Below are 23,842 nucleotides of genomic sequence, written 5' to 3'. Positions count from 1 at the left end.
AATCTTATTACCAATAAAGAGTGCTGGGAAACAATAAATTCAGTTGAAAAACAGTTTTCATGCTAGCAAGGTAATCTATGAGAATATTTTATCAGCATAAGAGATATGATTACATGTTCAGGAAGAAAATGCCTACTACAAAAACATTTTAATTAGTGCTTTACTGTCCTAACTTCTTTTTTAAAATGACCAACTTTTCAGTGACTCTTTTCGAGTCCAAGTCAATCTGTTAGTAGCACCAAAAAGCAGATCTCAATTAAGCAGACCAGCATTTGCACAGGATCACTCAGGCGGGAAAAATCCTGAAACACTTACCAGTTTAATAAACTGTACAGAGCAATGACAGCATCAAAAGGGAGAAAAAGCAAACTAGAAGTATAAGGTGACAAGTGAAAGGGGAAAAAAGCTGACAAAAAAATAGTCATTAGAAATTCAATTTTAAAAGAACAGAAAGATGATAAAAAGAAAAAACCAACATCAGGAGTAAACGTGACTATGGTAAATAAAGTTTACTTCTTTCTTTAAAAGCTTCAATAGAATAGTAATTTATATCTTAAAAGTATATTAAAAAACACTACAGAAAATGTAATTAATAATTCATAGAACTATGTTTCAAAATAAACAAAATGAAATAAACTCCTTACCTTGATTTCTCTCTGTTCAACAGATTTTTCCCATATTTGTTGATCATATGCTCCAATCTATGAAAAGAAGACACTACATTAAATGGTCATTGCTGGTACCCATCAAATAGGTATAACTCTGCTTGAAATACAAGCAACTCAGTATTCATTCAGCACAGATTAGATTTAGCCCTATCTCAGACTTCTCAGATCAGTATCATATTATTGCAGTGGTTCTCAAAGTATGATTTCAGGACCAGTAGTACTAGCGTCACCTTGGAATTTGTTAGAAATGCAAACTCTCAGGCCCCACTCCAGAGTTACAGAATCAGAAATACAAGAGTGAGGCCCCAAAACCTATGTTTTAAAAATCCCTCTTGAACAGAGAGGAGAACAACAGACACTAGGGCCTACTTGAGGGAGGAGGTTCAAAGGAGGGAGAGGTTCAGAAAAAAAACAAAAAACTATCAGGTACTATGCTTAGTACCCAGGTGATGAAATAACCTATACACCAAACCCCCAAGTCATGAGTTTACCTATATAACAAACCTGGACATGTATCCCTGAACCTAAAATAAAAATTAAAAAACTTTTTAAAATCCCTCTTGATGATTCTGATGTTGAAAACCACTGCCCTAGGGAATCCTTAATTGTAAATAAACACAATTGCTACAGCTCTGTTATATTTGGGGAAAAACTTCCAAGTGACAAATTCTTTATGGCATTATTTTTAAAGAAGACAAGTACTAATATGCTATACAATTAAAAATTTATAAACATGCAGACTGCAATTACCACTTAAAGTTTAAATTGGAAAACAAAGTTGTGAAATGATTGAAGACACAGGAAAATAATTATGAAGCAGAATTTCTTACAGCTTCTATTTTTATTATTCTTAGATGCTGGAAAGTTCTCTGAACTATACCTTCACCAGGGCAGGATGAACAAATCATTCTTTATTGTTCCCACCCAAGTTATTTGCTATTAGCTCCTGCTGTCTCCAGTTTCCACTTAATTCCCCATATCCAAAAGGACACTGAAATGGGTCAACACCATATAACTGTGACTAGGAATTTTCATTATTTGCATTAATTTAAAATTAGAAGCCTAAGAAATTAAAAATATTTCAGATAACTACACTTAAGAGACTAGAGACAGAAAATGACCAGAGATAGGCAATGATATTATAAGAAAATACAGGAGGAAAGAGTATTTTCTGACTCACAACATAATTTACCCTAAAGTCCTTTAATCTACACATTATTTTTTATATCTCAATTTCAAGAACTGAGAAACTGAGAATACCAAAATGGGTTAAAAGTAGACACAAAGGAGGTAGAATAAAATAACTTAAGTGACTTGATAAGAACCTTTAATGTCTGTTATTCTTTTTTTTGAGATAGAGTCTCGCTCTGTTGCCCAGGCTGGAGTACAGTGGTGCAATCTCGGCTCACTGCAACCTCCGCCTCCTGGGTTCAAGTGATTCTTCTGCCTCAGCCTCCTGAGCAGCTGGGGCTACAGGCGCGTGCCACCACGCCTGGTTAACACGCCTGGCTAATTTTTTGTATTTTTAGTACAGACGGTGTTTCACCGCATTAGCCAGGATGGTCTCGATCTCCTGACCTCGTGATCCACCCACCTCAGCCTCCCATAGTGCTGGGATTACAGGCGTGAGCCAACGCACCCGGCTATTCTCTCTTATACGTTATCTTGCTCGTATTAATTCTTCTGGTCCTGTAAATCCTATTCTCTTTTTCACCACTTTCCTGTGACTCTTTTATTTTAAAAATCATATTATGGCTGAGTGCAGAGTGGCTCTTGCCTGCAATCTCAGTACTTTGGGAGGTTGAGGTGGGAGAATCGCTTGAGCCCAGGAGTTTGGTACCAATCTTGGCAATGTAGTGAGACCTGTCTCTACAAAAAATTAAAAAATTAGCTAGGTGTGGTGGCACATGCTTGTAGTCCTAGCTACTCAGGGGACTGAGGTGGGAGGATTGCATGAGCCTGGGAGGTTGAGGCTGCAGTGAGCCATGATCATGCCACTGCACTCCAGCCAGGGCAGCAGAGTATTCTGCCTCAAACAAAAAACAAACAACAACAACAAAAAAAAACCATATTATACCCCCAAAATTAAAATATTGTAACACCTAGACCAAGCTACCTAGACCAAACAACATACTTATATGTAACTAAAACTGCCATGAGTCTCTATGAAGCAGGATTAAGAAACTCTAGGTAAACAACAACCAACTGGTTAGTCCTAATGGTAGAGGTGACCTGCGGTGACTAGTTGCCCCTCATCCTCTTAAATTATAAATTCAATCAATCAGTCATCTTCCTTAAAATCAGAAAAGGTAAGTATGGGAACATAGATTCCACATGAATAATTCTGCTCTAATAGAATAATTCAGAATAACTGGGCTTAAATGCAAATAAAAATTTATTTTTTAGGCCAGGTGCAGTAATTTATTTTTTTAGGCTGGGTATGGTGGCTCATGCCTGTAATCCTAGCACTTTGGGAGGCCAAGGCAGGCAAATTGCTTGAGCCCAGGAGTTTGAGACAAGCCTGAACAACATGGCAAAACCCTGTCTCTTCAAAAAACACAATAAATTAGCTGGGCATGGTAGTGTGCCCTTGTAGTCCCAGCTACTCAGGAGGCTGAGGTGGGAGGATCACTGGAGCCCAGGAGGTCAAGGTTGCAGTGGGCCATGATCATGCCACTGTACTCTGCCTGGGTGACAGAGTGAGATGCTGTCTCAAAAAAAAAAAAAAAAAAAAAAGGCCGGGTGCGGTGGCTCACGCCTGTAATCCCAGCACTTTGGGAGGCCGAGGCAGGCAGATCACAAGGTCAGGAGATCGAGACCATCCTAGCTAACACAGTGAAACCCCGTCTCTACTAAAAATACAAAAAATTAGCTGGGTGTGGTGGCGGGCATCTGTAGTCCCAGTTACTTGGGAGGCTGAGGCAGGAGAATGGCGTGAACCCGGGAGGCGGAGCTTGCGGTGAGCCGAGATTGCGCCACTGCACTCCAGCCTGGGCGACAGAGCAAGACTCCATCTCAAAAAAAAAAAAAAAAAAAAAAAAGTGTAACTATTTCAATGCACCACATACTTTTTAGTAAAATAATAATTAAAACTAATAAAGAATAGGCACCAATATGTTTTAATAACTATTTTGGCAGTATTTTGTTTTCATACACAAAAGGGTGCCTAACTTGTCTACAAAGTAACTATTTTTATTTCTAGGCGACTCAAGAAAGTGAATGTGTAGATACATGTCCTATAATCCTAAAATCAGGAAAAATAAAATAATCCTATTCGATAGACCAAATCAGAAATGGATGTCAATCCTTGGCATAACTAGGTTCAGTGCAACTCCAGCATGGTACTTAATAGGCCCGAGGTTAGAAAGGTACAGAAAGCCTAAGAAACTCCACAGTGAAGCAGTAGGTAAAAGTGGAAATGCTTCTTGAAAGCTGACATATTTCACTGTAAATAGCAGAATGCAATCCTAAAGGTGGGTGGATAGACATTCCTATTAAAAAAGCCACAGGATAAAATGATTTGTTTTACTGGAAAGACACATTTATTCAAAGATTTGATAGGTGAGAGGAAGGGCAACTTTTACTGTTAATAGAATGTCTCATGGTGGTGGGGGGGGGCGCGTCTTAATTTTTTTAAACTAGATAAATTTCATTCTCAATTACAGCAATTAAATGTCTGTAAGTGCAGGAATCAGTTCTCCTTTGCAGCAGACTTCTTCTGTTTTGGAAATACTACCAGATAGGCCAGGCATGGTGGCTCACGCCTGTAATCCCAGCACTTTGGGAGGCCGAGGCAGGCGGATCATGAAGTCAGGAGATGGAGACCATCCTGGCCAACACAGTGAAACCCTGTCTCTACTAAAACACACACACACAAAAAAAATTAGCCAGGCGTAGTCGTGCAGACCTGTAGTCCCCACTACTCAGGAGGCTGAGGCAGGGGAATTGCTTGAACCTAGAAGGTGGAGGTTGCAGTGAGCCGAGATCACACCACTGCACTCCAGCCTAGTGACAGAGCAAGACTCCGTCTCAAAAAAAAAAAAAAAGGAAAAAAAAAAAAAAAGAAAATACTACCAGAATGAACATTTTAGTTACTTAAGCAAACAGACTACTTTTTTGGAGAGGTAGTTTTTTTGTGAGGACGCTGGTTAACCTAAATGCAGGTGTCTCAGAAGGAGATGTTCAGGGTTTTGCTTAATAACGTGTATGCCTTTAACAAATTACCCTTACATATGAATTCAGACTGAATTATCTCTGAAATTGTTTGTTTCTTGGGATATGTGTGTAGTACACCAGTGGCATCATGAAATCAGAGTGGTAGCCAGATCCTAGAAGTGAGAGTGAAGGGATTCTAAAGATCTCTTCCAGCCTTTAGTCTCACTTTATTCCCAGCTGGCAGGATAGTAGATCAGACCCCCTGTGGCTGGAGTCAAGCTCTTCCCTGAATGAAACATAATTCTACTGTCAATCATTATAGGGCAAGAAAAGAAGTGACACTTAGGACTAGGAAAGAGAATAACCATCTTCTCAAGACTTAGGGTCATGGATAAAGAATAATTTGCAGAGCTGTGCTACCAAAGTTAAAAAATAACGGGACAGGTTTTCCAACTATTTTACCTCTAACACACAAATATACCCAAACCATTTCCAACATTTATATTTTACCCCTAACAGATATTTCCATTAACACACATTTTCCATTTTACCTCTAAACACGAATAATGCACTTTCCCCTTCTGCTTTATATTATTGTTACTGTATCCCTCTTATTTTTTTTTTTAATTTGTTGAGACAGGGTCTCAGTCTGTTGCTCAGAGAGACTTGGCAGACTTGATTGAGTCACATAAGTTTGACAGGTGGTTTTTAACAAATTTCTTCTACATAAAATTAAATCGCAAGGCCAAGTTCAATTATAGTTCTCTGTGAAAGAAAACTCAGGAAGAAAATAACTACTTTTTTAAAAATGGCATACAAAAGATTAAAAGAAGATCAGTGGTAACATTTGTCTAATGGTACAGTGATTTTAATAAGATGGTATGTCTTCAATTGAGAAATAAATACTATGTAATATTTTGACGACTTCGAAATTTTTGATACCTCCTAACTGTTCTTTTTCTCCTCCCTCCCCCAATGCCTCCAGTGTTTGTGTGTTTAGAAAAGGGCCTATTCAACATAATCCATAGGTTCACAGAAAAGAGGTTTCTTTAAAAGTACCTAACATTCTAGGCCGGGCGCAGCGGCTCATGCCCGTAATCCCAGCACTTTGGGATGCAGAGGTGGGTAGATCACTTGAGGTCAGACCATTCAGACCAGCCTGGCCAACATGGTGAAACCCCGTCTCTACTAAAAATACAAAAAATTAGCTGGGCGTGGTGGCGCACGCCTGTAATCCCAGCTACTTGGGAGGCTGAGGCAGGAGAATCACTTGAACCCGGGAGGAGGAAGTTGCGGTAAGCCAAGATGCACCATTGCACTCCAGCCTGGGCTACAAGAGTGAAACTCCGTCTCAAAAAAAAAAGTACCTAACATTTTGAAAGGATATATACTCAAATAATGTTTTGTTGATAGATACACAGAGAGAGATATACCAAGGTAATTAACGTACAAGTAATGGTATAGATATCCAACCATATTCTTCATAAGTAATGATCTGTTTCAAGGAGGGAAAAACATTGTTCCATCATGTAAGAGGAGACTCTGAAATCCTGATTTATATTCTGTAGCCAATAGTTTTGTATATTGTGAGAATGTGAAGTCCTTTCTCTGGTGCTTGGCTATGGTAAGCAACTTTATCAAGGTTCTTGTTATTACTCCCAGAGACGCCCTGAATAGCTTAAGCCTCTGGTGCACTCATTCCCAGAGCTGACCTACAGTCAGCTTTTCCATTCCTGGTTCCAGATGACCAAGCACTTTGTCATCTACAAACTCATCCTGTATCTTTGGTAACATGTCTGGCAATCCTATACCAATGCCTTAGAATAACTCCTTCTTCTTAATGACAACAAGGTCAATTAAAGATTTTCTTCCCACAAGCTTTAATTCCTAATTACTGTGACCATCACCATTCCTGGAAGAATGTCTAGCCAGTTACTACTTCCCTGAGAAGACTGAAGTCTTAAGATACAAACATCATTTTCTGTCATCTCCACTTCTAGTATGTTTTCTCATCTAAAGTTTGAGCCATTACAGAGGTCAAAACTGATTTAAAAAAAAACAACAACAATAATTATGGAACAGCAACCTGAAAGCAGTAAGAAGGGTAAGAGTCAAAAGGAAAAAAAAAAAGAAATTGAGATACTGGAATTTAGTAATATCAAACAGATGAAAATTCAACTAAATGAATATTCTTTAGATGCTTTCTGACCTACTGAAGACTGTTCTAACAGGAAAATGAACACTTTATACATGCTGTAAAAACTGAAATTAACATAGCTAATATGCTATATTAAATATATGTAAATATATACACCAGATATTTAGAAGGATACATGAAAATCATTAATAATGATTACCTCTGAGAAGTACCAAAGACAACAGCACTTTTCCTTTCTGCCTTATATTCATTGTTACTGTATCACTTTTTTTTTTTTTTTTAAAGACAGGGTCTCACTCTGTCACCCAGACTGGAGTGTAGTAGCATGATCTTGGCTCACTGCAACCTTGATCTCCCAGGCTCAATCAATCCTCCCACCTCAGCCTCCTGAGCACCTGGGACCACAGGTGCACCCCCACCTTGCTCAGCTAAATTTTTATGTCTTGTAGAGGTGACAGCTCCTTATGTTGCTCCCTATGTGGCCTTGAACTCTTGGGCTCAAGCAATCCACCCACCTCAGCCTCCCAAAGTGCTGGGATTACGGGTGTGAGCCACTGCGCCCAGCCACTGTATCACTTCCTCCCCTGCCCCTCACCACAATGGAGATGTACTACTTTTATAAACCAGGATTCGAACCCAGGTCTATTGGATTCCAAAGTAATTTGAACTAGCTATCTTAGAAACTAATATATTCCATAGTAACTAGTAAAGTTACTATCACTGAATAGGAACTTTATAGAGAATCATGTACCTCCTCCTACCATTACTCTAATTTTATATGTTTCTATACACTGAGACAAACAAAATGGGAAACAGGAAGAAAAGGGAAAGGGGGAAATGGAGGAAGGGAAAACTGGGAAGGAAAGAAAAGCGTAAAGAAACGGGAGGATTGGTAGGTAGAGAAAAAGACTGCCTTTGTCTAGGTATCTGCCAAGGTCAGCTCTGGCTCCTATGAAACAACTTTCTTATGAATATGATGGTATCAAAAATACAAATGTTAAAACCTAGATAATTAGATGGTGAAATGAGAAACGTATCACTTAGGAATTTTAGAAAAGAAGTATCTTTGAAAAACAATTTGAAAAGCTACTCTTCGGCTATCTAATTACCCCTAGGTTATCACATTCAGAACAGCAGTGGCTCAGGTATCAAGAGGCCAAAGACAAGGTGTCTTGCTTCAAAAAGGTAGTTATCAATAGTTTAATTAGACTGAGTGCTTAGATAAAAGATTAAGAATTCTCAAATAAAAATAAGCAAGGCAAAAAGAGACCCAGATTTGCAAACATATTTAAAGCACCTAGTTTCCTTAACTAATGAACAGATACATCATAATACTGTATGTCAAAGCCCTAATTTTTCCTACCACCATGTTTAGTTTCTTTTCTCTGAATCTCATTTAAGAAACTCTGAAAAGCAAGCTATTAATTCTCACAAACACTAAATGCCATACAAAAAAGAAAACACAGAGCCCAAATTTATTCCTAGATGAACCCCATGCAACAAACATCAGAGGCCAATCATGTGCCAGGATAAATGCTGTCTAATTTTGTCAGCAAGAGTATCTGTTAAAAGTATAACAATAAGGCTAGGCACAGTGGCTCACATCTGTAATCCTAGCACTTTGGGAGGCCGAGGCAGGCAGATCACCTGAGGTCAGGAGCTCCAGACTAGCCTGGCCAACATGGTGAAACCCTATCTCTACTAAGAATACAAAAAATAGCTGGGTGTGGTGGTGGGCGCCTGTAGTTCCAGCTACTCAGGAGGCTGAGGCAGGAGAATCACTTGAACCTGGGAGGCGGAGGTTGCAGTGAGCCAAGATCCCACCACCGCACTCTAGCCTGGGTGACAGAGCAAGACTCCATGTCAAAAAAAAAAGTATAACAATAATACCCTCAAGGCAAGAGATTACAGAATGTCTTGAGATAGGGCTGGGCTTGGTGGCTCATGCCTATAATATGAGCACCTTGCAAGGCAAGGCCAAGGCAGGAGGATCACTTGAGACCAGGAGTTCAAGACTGGCCTGGACAACACAGTGAGACCCTCATCTCTATTTAAAAAAATTAAAAATCAGCCAGGTACAGCAGCATGTGTCTGTAGTCCTAGCTACTTGGGAGGCTGAGGGGCAAGGATTTATTGAGCCCAGGAGTTCGAGGCTACGGTAAGCTATGATTGCACCATTGCACTCCAGCCTAGGTAACAACAACAACAAAATCTCGAGATAACCTCTTTAAAACAAAAAAAAATTTTAAAAAAAGTAGATGCACAAGCCCTTGGTGACTCTTTCCATCTCTAAATTGATATTCTAAAAACATTACTTTTTTTGGTGTATGCATCATCAATCATAAGATGTTAATAGGCAAAGTTTATGTTGCTTTTATACCTAATGCAAACATCCCATATTTTTATTTATTTATTTATTTATTTATTTTGAGACGAAGTCTCGCTTTGTCACCCAGGCTGGAGTGCAGTGGCACGATCTTGGCTCACTGCAATCTCTGCCTCCCAGGTTCAAGCGATTCTCCTGCCTCAGCCTCCCGAGTAACTGGGACTACAGGTGCCCACCACCACATCCGGCTAATTTTTTAACATTTTTGGTAAAGACGGGGTTTGACCATATTGGTCAGGCTGGTCTCGAACTCCTGACCTCAAGTGATCCACCTGCCTCGGCCTACCAGAGTGCTGAAATTACAGGGGTAAGCCACTGCGCCCAGCCCAACATTCCATATTTTAATAGTGATTTAATAGCTGTACAACCAAAGATAATTTTTTGAGTCTTTTTAAAAAAATAAATGTTATCAGTCAGAAAATACACTTTGTCAACTCAGGAATGGAAAATCAAATACCATAAGTTCTCACTTATAAGTGGGAGCTAAGCTATGGGTAGTACACAAAGGCATAGAGAGTGATATAATGGACTATGGAGACTCAGAAGGGGTAGGGTGGGAAGGGGAGATGAGGGATAAAAAACTACATACTGGGTACAAGGTACACTACTCAGGTAACAGGTACAATGAAATCTCAGACTTCATCACTATATAATTCATCATGTAACCAAAAACCACTTGTGCCCCAAAAGCTACTGAAAATTTTCTTTTTTAATTTTAAAAAGACAAATTCTCAGAGAAAACAAGGAAAAGAAAATACACTTTGTCATATTTGGAGTGCTGGATTTTAACACTTTGTTTTCCCCAGCTTTTAATATTTGCTGATACAAATGGAAAAGACCCTGGACTGTTTAAGATACCTGGATTTTTATCCTACCTCCACCATAACTAGAGCCTCATGGACATGGACAAGGTACTTGACCTCTCAACCTCCGTATAATGGGGACAATAAAACACATTTCACAGAACTGAAATGTAAAAAGATAGTCTTGTATATAGTTGGTGCACTGTAAAAATATTAGTTCTTTTCTTTCTTGGCAAATCTTAATCTCTCTAGGCTTCAATTATTTCACTTTTAAATTGCTAAAGCTGAACAATATTTAATTATGACAATATTTATGCTCACTAATGATTTGGATGGCTACAGAGAGACAAAAGATTCAATGCTATAACATCAGATAGAAGCAATAAGAGTAGTTAGAAAGGTGTGGGGAGAAGGTACAAAGAAGAAAGCCAAAACGGGTGTGCAGATAAAAGTCTTTTTCCTAATTAATTGACAGTGTAATATTTTTGTTAACTGCTTACAGTTTATAGATAAAATGGAGCTGCTAATAAAATCATTTTGTTGACAGGATCACATTTGCCAAGATACAATATACTAATAAAAGCTAAAAATATATGGTTTGCATTGCCATAATTATCTACCTATAAATTTGGTAAAAAAGAGAAAACCGAGAGGGCTAAGTGATATAACAAAGTTAAGTTACTGAACAAAATAGTGAATGTGAGAATAAAACACTAATCACCAATGAAAGAAAATTATATCTATAATCCCCAAAATTATGTGGTCATGATGAACATTTGACAATTATTCTCAGTACTTCTGTTCATATTGCAAAAAATAAGAGACATCTGGGCCACTTCAAATCATTAGAATGATGAATAACCTTCAGACAAATCTCATCCAGAAATAGTGGAAACTAATTATTTTGACATTCTTTAAGACTTCTAATTCAAAAGTAAAGTTCTCAATCCTTTGGATATCAAATAGGTTTTCACTGATTTTGCTCATAACTACTACTTCTCGAACAAATTTGTCTCTTGAACCACCTAGAAATATCTCTGAATCCTGAAATTGCTCCTAATAGGACTTATTTCTAACCTACTACTCAATTTATGTGCTACCCCATTCTTTTTTTGTTTTTACAACATTCTATTTTAATCTACATATTGTTCAATGTTTCTAGTTGTCCATTACACACATGTGCAATGGACAATTACACACACATGCACACACACCTCTAAAGAAGTTTGTATAAGTCAGATACTCAGGTGACTTTAATGATGAGGATCAAATGAGGAAGATGAATCATTTAATTACACAATATAAACTATGATGATAATGTCACACAGAAAGCTGTGGTCTGAGAAAATGTCCAAAGCTAGCAACTCTTTCAAATGCATAACAACTACCAAATTATTTTACCAAATCTCTAACTTTTCTGAATCAATCTTTTTTTAAAACTCTAAAAACATAATGAAAGGCCAAACCATAGAAGACCTTTAACCCAATCATTAAAAATACTGCCCTACAATTCTAGTGTTATTTCGGGAAGACCTTAAATGGGTAAGTATTCAAATTTAAGATATCCTAATTGGGAAAAGAAGTCTAAACCATGGAATAAATATTATTGACTATAAGCAAAGAGTTTGCTCTGCAACCACTTGCAAATCTCTTTGCTTTAACCAATCATTTATTTATTTTTCTATAAATCATTATCGGAATATAATTAAAAAGTGTTACTAAAAAAAGTAAAGCTACTTGAGTAGAAGGCAAATTTTAAAAGAAATAAATTTTTTTTTTTTTAAGATTTGAAATCTTTTGGTTGGGGGACAATGTGACTTTTCAAGGAAGAAAACAGATTTCTAGAATTCGGTCAATTTATATATCTAGCTAGCCATTTGGATCAAAACACCAAACACATTCTCATCTGCAGATACTAAAAGCTAGCTAGTTATCAAAGATTCCATTCATTATGAGTAATAAAAGCTAAAGCTAATTAAAATATTCCCAACATCATCTAAAATGACACGATTCTCTGCATGAATCCCCAAAAAAGGATACTACAGACCACATACCTATCATCAAATCACGAATCCTGATCAAGCTCCTATTGCCAAGGAAAGCCAGTTAATGACATAGTAAAACACTGACTCAAGTTTAGAAAAAAGTCTTGAAGGTATTTTTTATTTCAATGAAGAGAAGTGATTATGGTAGAATCTGCCTCTCAGAAGTTATAAATCCAAAGAAAAAAATATTCAAAGAGTCATAATTCAAAGCAGAATCAAGTAAGTACTGTTGCATACCGCTGAAAGATGGTCTGAAAGGACCAATGTTTGTAAGATAAAATGTACAAGAGTAGGAAACTCACTGGATATGGATGCATGAGAAAGAAATAAAGATGACAGTTTCTGGCTTAAGTACCTGGGATTGCACTGCTACTATTAACCATGACATCCTGGAATAAAAGCAGGTTTGAAAAAAGGCCATTTGGCTGGGTGCAGTGGCTCACATCTATAATCCCAGCACTTTGGGAGGCCGAGGTGAGCAGATTATTTGAGTCTAGGAGTTCAAGACCAACGTGGGCAACATGGCGAAAGCCTATCTCTACAAAAAAAGAAAAAAGAAGTAAAAAAAAAAAACAAAACCAGCCATTGGAGCCATAAGACAGCCAAGAATTATGGCTAGAGATCAGGAGAGTTGGGAAGGTACAAAATCTGGACCTCAGCAGCATAAACTGGGTGTTTGGATGTTATGTGGTCAATTTGATCACCTAAGGAAATTGAATACATTAAGGAGACCAAGAACAAAATATTAAGAAGGATAAACATATATATGGAGGGGAGAAGAATCAAAAGCAGGTAATGAGACTTACAAAAATTGGATAGGTAGGAAGACGACTGGGACAATATACTAATTAAGGCTAAACAAGGAAAGAGTTTCAAGAAAAGGTAAAGCAAGAAGAGCTAAAAATACTGAAATATTTTGAAGTGGTTATGGCAGTTAAATACATTAATGTCAATGACCTTAATCTCGTTTAAACAGGAGGCAGTCATTAGATGAGATTTGGAAGCTGGGGAGTTTGGGGAATGGGGACAATAAAAAAGGTAAAAAAACAACCACTTGGAGAGACAGAATATATTGTCCACTAGAGAGAGTGATTGGAGGGATACCAGATAGAGCATAAGCAGCTGAGTTGGTATTAGAAGCAGTCAAGTAGGTTATGTTTGTATTTTTCCTTTTACCACCAAGGTTCAAAAGTCCAGGATCAGGAGCGGAATTTAAATATCCACACATACTCTACCACCAAACACCTACAAGTATGCCAGGCATGATAATATGCACTTGCAAGTTTCCTCATTTAATCTTTATAGTTTCCTTTCTCTTTTCCCTCTGCTTCTCCTGAACAATTCAGCACTGAAGCCATTAGATGGGGCAGAACCATGGGGGCCTAAAGCACGGTGCCAGAGCTACAGTGGAGAGAGCCTGATGCACGTGTGTAGCCAGGCATGGGGTATCAATCCAAGCGGGATGTGAAGGAGGACGTTGTGGGGGTGAGGAGAGTCAGAGCCTGAGCAGGGCGAGAAGGATGACCACATGTGGGGATGACCAAGCACAGGGTACAGAAACTCAAGCAGGGTAAGGAGGGCATCCACTTGTAAGACATCTTGGTGTGAGGTGTTGGAGCCCAAGAAAGACAAAGAAGGTCTAGAATAAAGATCTTGAGAGAGATGAACAGGGTATCTACATACAGGATGGGATGGCAGCTAAGATGGGAGAATGATTTTATATGTGGGGACTGATGTCTTAAAAGCCTGAAAATGTTCCTATTTACTGAGTTACTGAGAAATCTCTACCTCTAGAAAGCTCATAAACAAATAAAAGATTAGTTTGACAACTTAACGAATGCTATTTGTAAACAGGGGAATGGCTTAATAAATACATTATGGCATACTCAGAGAATAAAATGTTATGGTCATAAAATTATGTTTTTAAAATTTAGTAATGTGAGAACATACTTTTGGTTATGTTACATGAAAACAGGAAAATAAAAAATACGATGCTAATATTGTTGGGAAAAAGTCATAATGTCAACAGTAGAGCAACTGTGTGATTCTAACTTTCATTATACTTAACCTGCATTTTCCACTTTTCCTATGATAAATATGTATCACTTTAACATTTATAATAAAAACCAATATTTTACAAATCAAGAGGAAAAGGGAGCTAATACCCTCAACTAACAATCAAGTGTTAGGTGTTAGGCTAGATGCTTTTGTATACATTTCTCATGGAAAAGTACTGTGAGTAGAAGAGGGCAAGTTATTAAGAAAGCAACTGCCACTGCTCAAAATCAATTTATGAAAATAAATTTGGCTTTTCCTATAAGATACATAAGAGAAACTTTCAGCTAAAGAGATATTTTAACAACAAAACCATAAGAAATTTTAGTAGTATAAAAAGGCAGATAGATGATAGATAATTGACTATGTCAATTATCCATCCATTCTTGGACATCAGGAAAAAAAATGAGTTAAAGAGCCAAAATGCTAAAATATGCCAATTACCCAGGAAAACAAAAACATTCCATCTTTGTGACAGAAGAGTAACTTAAATTGCATTAGGTGGTTGTGGAAATAATTCAACTGGTTCATACAGGAAAGGGAGGGAATGGAAGAAAGGGAGCCCGGCAAACAGCTTTGTGGTAGAGCTGGGAGAATTCCAACTTCTGGAAGAAGCCAAGGAGAGAAGGCCATCACGAGTTCTTTAGGCCTCTGCAGCCATGAGGGGTTGGCCATATGAGAAGCAGCAGCAGCCATGGACCATCTCATCTGACTCCTCCCCAGCTATGGTCCTTCAGTCCTCAAAAAATATTAAAAAGATTAGCCCTCAATGCTAGTAACACTATGATTACGGTAGAATCTGCCTCTAAGAAGTTATAAATACAAAGAAAAAATATTCAAAAAGTCAAATTCAAAGCCGAATCAAGTTAAGTACTATTGCATACCACTAAGAGATGGTCTGAAAGGACCAATGTCTGTAAGATAAAATGTACAGGAATAGGAAACTCACTGGATATGGTTGCATAAGAAATAAAGATGACAGTTTCTGGCTTAAGTACCTGGGACTGCACTGCTACTACTAACCACGGCATCACAGAATAAAAGCAGGTTTGAAAAAAGGCCATTCGGCCAGGTGAACTAGATAACATCCACCTACCTAGCTAGATCTAGATAGATCTATCTAGATACAGTGTCACTTCAGGGGTCCCTCAATAACCCTCAAATGCCAAGCCACCCTTTTTAATACTTAAAGAAATAAATCTTTAATTTAGAGATTAAAAATACACATCTAGTTGATTCAATACCCATCTCTCATTTATACTTACGTAAAATCAGTAAATCAATCACTGAAACTGCTTTGCAAAATTATGACAGTAGGAGAAATCTGACATAGCTGACTCCATCTTGCTTCTAACCTCCAAGCTGTGCTTGTTCATTCCTGGGAGTAGCCAAGCTAACTTTGGAAGGAATTTAGTTTATAGTTTAAAGGAAGGATGATAACAGCCCTTCCCAAAACTACAGCCTCCTTTGAAACCACCTTTGTAAAACTAACAAATTAGCCATGAGACTAGAAATTATGGCTCAGGAGTCATGTAGCCAGAGGTCACAAGATTCATAACCTCCCCAGTTGCTCCTACTCCCCAGTTGCTCCTACAGATAACATCACTATTGTAAAACTAAAATTGGTGTTTGAGGTATTTTTCGGACCCTGCATTCTAATGGACAAGCTGGCGCCACCCAGACCCATAAAATGGCTCAACTGGTCTTGTAATCCCACCCAGGGACTGACAGTGCAAGAAGACAGCTTTAACACCCTATGATTTCATCCCTGATCCAACCAATCAGCATTTCCTATTCCCTAGCCCACTGCTTGCCAAATTATCCTAAAACAAAACAAAACCCAGTCTCCAAAATTTCATAGACCAATTTGAATAATAATAACCTCTCTTGTTCTGTTTGCCTGGCCCTGCGATTTTTCAACTCTCTGCTGCAAAAACCTGCTGTTCTCAGTGCATTGGTTTTTCCGGGCAGTAGGCAAGATGAATTAATTGGGCAACTACATCACTAAGCATAAAGTACTGAAGTCTTGCTATACTCTGAGAGGGACTACCAACCTCCACATCTGTGTTATTTGATCCTGCACATCCCCTTCCCCCAACAGTGATTCAAAGCCAGACACACAACTCAAGTGGAGCCAGACTTTCCATTCTAGACATCACATGAATAGGAGAAACAGAGACAGACGGCTGAGACAGAGGAATAAAATTAACATTAACTACAGATCCTAAGAGAGAAGTTTCCAGAAATCCTGATGCTAAGGGGCCCTACACAGCCTTGGTTTCCTTTCCTTCCCATGTCTTAGCTGGCTGATGTTGGCACAGTTTACGCATGTGGTGAAAAGTAGAAGCAGAACACCATGGTGGTTTTTCCTGGCCCAAGTTTAATGAGAACATTGCTGTTAATGCATGCAAACCAATACCATTCTGCATAATTTATGAAGACTGTTCATTTTCCAACTTGCTGGTACATGGCAGTATGTTCTGAGTGGATTTATTTATCAAGCTACTATGTGATTAATAACCTTTTCCAAAAAGTCATTTTAGCAAAGATAATTTAACTTCTGCTTTTCTACTTAACCTAACCTTGGATGATGAACTGTGAAGACCCTGCTAGTGAGGAAAGAAAAGATCATTATTGGCCAGGCGTGGTGGCTCACGCCTGTAATCCCAGGACTTTGGGAGGCCGAGAGCGGGGATCATGAGGTCAGGAGTTCGAGACCAGCCTGACCGACACAGTGAAACCCTGTCTCTACTGAAAATACAAAAATTAGCCAGGCATGGTGGCACGTGCAGCAACTCAGGAGGCTGAAGCAGGAGAATCGCTTGAACCCAGGAGGTGGAGGTTGCAGTGAGCCAAGATTGTGCCACTGCACTCCAGCCTGGGTGACAGAGCGAAACTCTGTCTCAAAAAAAAAAAAAAAAAAGAGAGAGAAAAGATCATTACTGACTTCCATTAATCATGGGAAAATAATTCAAATATATCTTATTTAAATCAAACAGAGGGTGAAAATACTTTAAGGGTAAATACCCAAGTTCTATTTAACAAACCTATAATTCCCAAGTGTTAAAGCTTTTAGAGCCAAACCCACACAATTTAACATTACTCAATTCAAAATTATTTGGAATTTTTGATAAGTGTTATCTGAATTATTATAGAGTGGAAATCATTGAAAATTATTTAAAACACACTCTTAAATTATGCAGTGGTGCAATCACAGTGATCCTCCCATCTCAGCCTCCTGCGTAGCTGCAACTGCAGGTGTGTACCACCATGCCTGGATAATTTATTTTATTTTATTTTATTTATTTTGTAGAGACAGGATCTCACTTTGTTGCCCAGGCTGGTCTTGAACTCCTGGGCGCAAGTGATCCTTCCTCTTTGCCCTCCCAAAGTGCTGCGATTACAGATGTAAGCCACCAAGCCCAGCTGACTTCTTTAGCTTCTAAATCAAAGAAACACAGTGAAAGATGGGATATAAACATTATCTTCATTTTACCACTAATAAAAGTGTTGCTCATATTTTATATATCAAACTTAAAAGAGAAAAAAACTTCAAAAGACATGAACTTCATCTTCCCACCTAATCTAAGACATTAATCAACACTGGTCATAATTCTTTTGGCCACAGACGCATTTATAAAAATTGAATTTACTCAGTTAAATAACACTGACCAAAATCGACCTAGTCAGTAAATGTACAAGACTTCTAATAGACTAAAAACACTTAAAAAGTGATAGTTGTATTAATAATCAGTAACTGCTGCTACCATTTATTAAGCATTTGCTGGTCCTTGATGGCAGTCCAGGCAGGGAATGAGACACAGATGACAAATTTAATGCCATTTCTCTCAACCACCTAAGAACCCAAAGCCAGGTAAGAAAAAAGTAAAAGAAATAGGCTAGATTTGGTTGTAAAGTGGGGAGTGGAATCACTGTTAAGTAAAGAGTGCAGATACTATGGCCCAGACCAACTAGATTTGAATTCTAGCTCAGGCACACAGGCACTGTGTGACCTTAAGAAAACTACTAGACTTCTCTAAACCGTAGTTGCCTCAGTTATAAAATCAGGATAATAGCAGTAATATATATTTAATAGGCTTTTTGTGATGATGAAATGTATATAAAGTACTTTCAGACATTGTGTGGCACACATGAAGTGTTCAATAAATATTACCTGTTATTGGCCCAGCACGGTTTCTCACGCCTGTAATCCCAGCACTTTGGGAGACTGAGGCAGGCAGATCACGAGGTCAGGAGATCAAGACCATCCCGGCTAACGCACTGAAACCCCGTCTCTACTAAAAATACAAAAAATTAGCCAGGCGTGGTGGCAGGCGCCTGTAGTCCCAGCTACTCGGGAGGCTGAGGCAGGAGAATGGTGTGAACCCAGGAGACGGAGCTTGCAGTGAGCCAAGATGGTGCCACCGCACTCCAGCCTGGGCAACACAGCGAGACTCCATGTCAAAAAAATAATAATAATAATAAATAAATAAATAAATAAATAAATATTACCTGTTATTATTAGTCAACAAATATAACAACCATGATATAGGAGGCTCTGGGCCAACTACTTTACTTAAACAATGTTGTTTAATCCTTATAACAAGCCTGGAAATAGACAGAGTTATTCCAATTTTAAAGAAGATGACTGTTTTCTTTAAACACACACATACACACACACAGGAATAGATTTTTTAAAAATTAAACTATTTTTTTAAAAAACCTAGGAATAAATCTAACCAGGGAGGTGGAAGATCTATGTAAGAAAACTACAAAACACTGATGAAAGAAATCAAAGAGGTCACAAAAAAATGAAGACATCCCACGCTCATGGACTAGAAGAATGTTGTGAAAATGACCATACTACCAAAGATAATCTACTGAGTCAATGCAACCCCTACACAGAAATAGAAAAAAACAATCCTACAATTCATACAGCACTAGCCAAAGTGACTGGAAGCAAAAAGAACAAAGCTGAAGGCAGCACACCACCTGATTTCAAAATATATTACAAACCTATAGTAACCAAAAGACCATGGGCCTGGCATAAAATAGACACAGAGACCAATGGAACAGAATAGAGGACTCTGAAATAAATCCACCTATTTATAACCACCTGATTTTTGACAAAGGCACCAAGAACGTTTATTGGGGAAAAGACAGTCTCTTCAATAAATGGTGCTGGGAAAACTGATATCCATATACAGAAGAATGAAACTAGACCCCTATATTTTACCACATATGTGATGGTTAATACTGACTGTCAACTTGACTGGATTGAAGGATACAAAGTATTGATCCTGGGTGTGTCTGTGAGGGTGCTGCCAAAGGAGATTAACATTTGAGTCAGTGGGCTGGGAAAAGCAGACACACCTTTAATTTGGGTGGGCACAATCTAATCAGCTGCCAGTGTAGCTAGAATATAAGCAGGCAGAAAAATATGAATAGAGAGACTGGCCTAGCTTCCCAGCCTATATCTTTTTCATGTGCTGAATGCTTCCTGCCCTGGAACAGCGGATTCCAAGTTCTTCAGTTTTGGAACTTGGACTGGCTCTCCTTGCTCCTCAGCTTGCAGACGGTCTATTGTGAGACCTTGTAATCATGAGTTAATACTTAATAAACTCTCCTTTATATATATAGTTATTCCATTAGTTCTGTCCCTCTAGAGAACCTTGACCAACAGATTTTGGTACCAGGAGTGGTTCTAGAGGAACAGAATATTAAGGATGGAGTTCTTTTGTTGGTTTTGGGGTTTCTGGAGTTGGCTGCTTAATGTGATTAGACCCAAAAATGCTAAGGACTCTATTTCTAATAGTATGGAGAACACTGTTAGTCCTTGGCATGAACTGTTTGGAGAGTTTTGCAAAATAAATGCATTTGACACTCCTGATTCATCACTCATGAGAGGCAAGGAGTTTAGTGACTCAACACAATACCTTTGACCATATGTGGAGAACCAAGGAACATAATGAAGTTGGTTGGTTGCTCCTAAGTTCAGTGGACAAAGTGATGAAAGAAAATTATGAACTCAGGGATTCTATCTCCTGGCTTCAGAAGCAGATACTGAGCCTCAAATCTGCTAAGATTGCCCTGGGTGAGAGTCTTATCTCCCCTAGAGAAATAGCTGAAATTGTAGAAAAACAGACACAAGCTATTATCACGCAAGTGGCTGACCTTCACTGAAAGGTACATGCACAGCGTCGCCAGGTGTCTACTGTTAAAGTGAGGGCATTGATAGAAAAGAATGCGACCCTGAAACTTGGAATGGAGACGTGTGGGAGGACCCTGATGAGGCAGGACACTGAGTTTGTAAATTCTGATGAATCTTTTTTTGCCAGAAGGAACAGCTTCCTCATCCCCAGTAGTGGCAACATCCCCTCCCCGACCCATGCTGCCATCAGCCTTTCCACCTTTGTCTGAAGAGATAAACCTTGTGCTGCCTGAGGCAACAGTGATGGCCTCCCCTGAGGCAGCTGTGAGGCAAGATAACACTGATTCTCCTCAGGTGCCACCTCTCACACCCCTGTTTGCTTCTAGAACTATAACTAGACTAAAGTCCCAGCCGGCCCCTAGAGATGGGGGGGTTGATAGTGTGACTGATGAGGAGGTGCACTAAACTCAAAAAGAACTGCTTGAGTTTTCTAATTTATATAAATAGAAATCTGCAGAACAGGCATGGGAATGGATGTTAAGGGTGTGGGATAACGGCGGAAGGAACACAGAGTTGGATCAAGCTGAATTTATGGATTTGGGCCCACTAAGTAGGGACTCTGCATTTAATGCTGCAGCTCCGGGAGTTAAAAAAGGTTCTAGGCCGAGCACAGTGGCTCACGCCTGTAATCCCAGCACTATGGGAGACTGAGGCAGGGGGATCACGAGGTCAGGAGATCGAGACCACCTTGGCCAACATTGTGAAACCCCGTCTCTACTAAAATACAAAAAATTAGCCAGGCATAGTGGCACATGCCTGTAATCCCAGCTACTTGGAGGCTGAGGCAGGGGACTCGCTTGAACCCGGGAGGCAGAGGTTGCAGTGAGCTGAGATCGTGCCACTGCACTCTAGTCTGGTGACAGAGCAAGACTCTGTCTCCAAAAAAAAAAAGGTTCTAATAGTTTATTTGCTTGGTTTGCTGAAATCCGGATTAAAAGATGGCCCACTCTGAGTGAGCTAGAAATGTCTGATCTCCCTTGGTTTAATGTAGAGGAAGGGATCTAAAGGCTTAGGGAGACTGGGATGGTGGAGCGGATTAGTCACTTTAGACCTACTGACCTCCCCAGCTAGAAGGGTCCAGAAGAGGTACTCTTGACCAATGCCTTGTGAACTAGATTTGTGAGGGCAGCACCTGCATCTCTGAAGAGCCCTGTAATTGCTCTTTCAGGTATGTCAGGTCTAACAGTGGGAAGTGCAGTCACTCAACTACAAAATTTAAATTACAATGGGAATAACTGGATCCTGAGGTGGCAGGGGCCAAGTGGCAGCAATCAACCATCAAAGGCAAGGTGGGTGTGGCTACCATAATGGACAGCAGAGGCAAAGCGGCAATCAGAATAGTCTGACTCATGTAGAGCTCTGGCATTGGCTAATTAATCACAGTGTTCCTAGAAGTAAAACTGATAGGAAGCCTATTGCATTCCTACTTAGTTTATACAAATCTGGGGAAGAGGTATGTGGATGGACCTCTCTGAGTGGTCAAAAACTGTGAAGGTATTTGTACCCCATGTGAGTGCTCACCAGTGGGTGACCTCAGCAGAGCAGGATTTTAACAATCAAGTGGAGAGGATGACACCACTCAGTCTCTTTCCCCAGCCACCCCATCATCGTCCAATGGGCCCATGAACAAAGTGGCCATGGTGGCAGGGATGGAGGTTACGCATGGGCTCAGCAACATGGACTTCCACTCACCAAGGCTGATCTGGCTGCAGCCATTGCTGAGTGCCCAATTTGCCAGCAGCAGAGACCAACACTGAGCCCTCCATATGGCACCATTCCTCGGGGTGATCAGCCAGTTACCTGGTGGCAGATTGATTATATTGAACCTTTTCCATCACGGAAAGGGCAGAGGTTTGTCCTCACTGGAATAAACCCTTACTCCAGATATGGGTTTACCTATCCTGCATGCAAGCTTCTGCCAAGACTACCATCATGGACTCATGGAATGCCTTATCCAACATCATGGTATTCCACACAGCATTGCCTTTGACCAAGGCACTCACTTTACAGCTACAGAAGTGTGGCAGTGGGCTCATGCTTATGGAATTCACTGGTCTTACCATGCTCCCCATCATTCTGAAGCAGCTGGATTGACACAACAGTGGAATACCCTTTCGAAGTCACAATTACAACGGCAACTAGGTGACAATACTTTGCAGGGCTGGGGCAAAGTGTATGCTCTGAATCAGCATCCAATATATGGTACTGTTTCTCCAATAGCCAGGATTCACAGGTTCAGGAATCAAGGGGTAGAATTGGAAGTAGCACCACTTACCATCACCCCTAGTGATACACTAGTAAAATTTTTGCTTCCTGTTCCTGAGACATTACGTTCTCCTGGCCTGGAGGTCTTAGTTCCAGAGGGAGGAACACTGCCAAGAGGAGACACAACTCCATTAAACTGGAAGTTAAGATTGCCACCTGGACACTTTGGGCTCCCCCTACCTTTAAGTCAACAGGCTAAGAAGGGAGTTACAGTGATTGGCCTGGACTATCAAGATGAAATCAGTCTACTACTCCACAACGGAGGTAAGGAAGAGTATTCATGGAATACACAAGATCCATTAAGGCGTCTCTTAATATCACCATGCCGTGTGATTAAGGTCAATGGGAAACTACAACAGCCCAATTCAGGCAGGACTACAAATGACCCCGAGACCATTCAGGAATGAAGGTTTGGGTCACTCCACCAGAGAAAACACCATGACTTGCTGAGGTGCTTGCTGAAGGCCAAGGGAATACAGAATGGGTAGTAGAAGAAGGTAGTCATCAATACCAGCTACGACCACACGATCAGCTGCAGAAACAAGGACTGTAACTGTCATGAGTGTTTCCTCCTTCTTTTGTTAAAAATGTTTGTGCATGTATACACTTATACTAAGAAAATATCTTCATTTTTATTTCCTTTCTCCTTTATCATGTGATATAAAGATTTATTGACTTCACATCAGCATTTAAGTATTGTTAACTTTATGTAATAGTATTTGGAATGGGGATTGGTGCATTTCTGGTTGTACAAAGGATAGCTGTGTTATGTTAGGCTTATTATTGTCTTTATTTGAAGATTATATATGATCTCAGGAGATGTGTATGGGTTCAGGTTGACAAGGGGTGGACTTGTGATGCTTAATACTGAGTGCAAACTTGACTGGACTGAAGGATACAAAGTTTTGATCCTGGGTGTGTCTGTGAGGGTGTTGCCAAAGGAGATAAACATTTGAGTCAGTGGGCTGGGAAAAGCAGACCCACCCTTAATCTAGGTGGGCACAAGCTAATCAGCTGCCAGTGTGGCTAGCATACAAGCAGGCAGAAAAATGTGAAAAGAGAGACTGGCCTGGCCTAGCCTCCCAGCCTATATCTT

General features: G+C 39.5%; 1 protein-coding gene across 23 annotated transcripts in view, besides 1 other annotated feature; it reads right to left on the bottom strand.

Annotated features, from left to right (window-relative positions):
• Window positions 1-23,842, bottom strand: part of PHTF2 (putative homeodomain transcription factor 2) — a 158,732-nt gene that overhangs the window by 63,196 nt on the left and 71,694 nt on the right. For 15 of the 23 annotated variants that reach the window (NM_001127358.2, NM_001366081.1, NM_001366084.1 and 12 more), the window contains one exon: window positions 645-701. In NM_001127358.2, the coding sequence (NP_001120830.1) occupies window positions 645-701 (57 nt within the window). Of the gene's footprint in view, window positions 1-315; window positions 328-644; window positions 702-23,842 lie in introns of all 23 variants that reach the window. The other 8 variants (XM_011516422.4, XM_011516423.4, NM_001395272.1 and 5 more) reach the window with 1 other exon arrangement.
• Window positions 21,454-22,025: an enhancer, noted in NCBI's record as "OCT4-NANOG hESC enhancer chr7:77501601-77502172 (GRCh37/hg19 assembly coordinates)". NCBI's record gives its function as "activates a minimal SCP1, AML or CMV promoter by ChIP-STARR-seq in primed H9 embryonic stem cells {active_cell/tissue: H9 hESC(primed)}" and the evidence as "EXISTENCE:reporter gene assay evidence [ECO:0000049][PMID:30033119]".

This window comes from Homo sapiens, chromosome 7 (genome assembly GCF_000001405.40).
Source record: "Homo sapiens chromosome 7, GRCh38.p14 Primary Assembly".
In the NCBI taxonomy this organism is placed as follows: Eukaryota; Metazoa; Chordata; class Mammalia; order Primates; family Hominidae; genus Homo; species Homo sapiens.
This window is presented reverse-complemented; position numbering and strand designations above follow the sequence as displayed.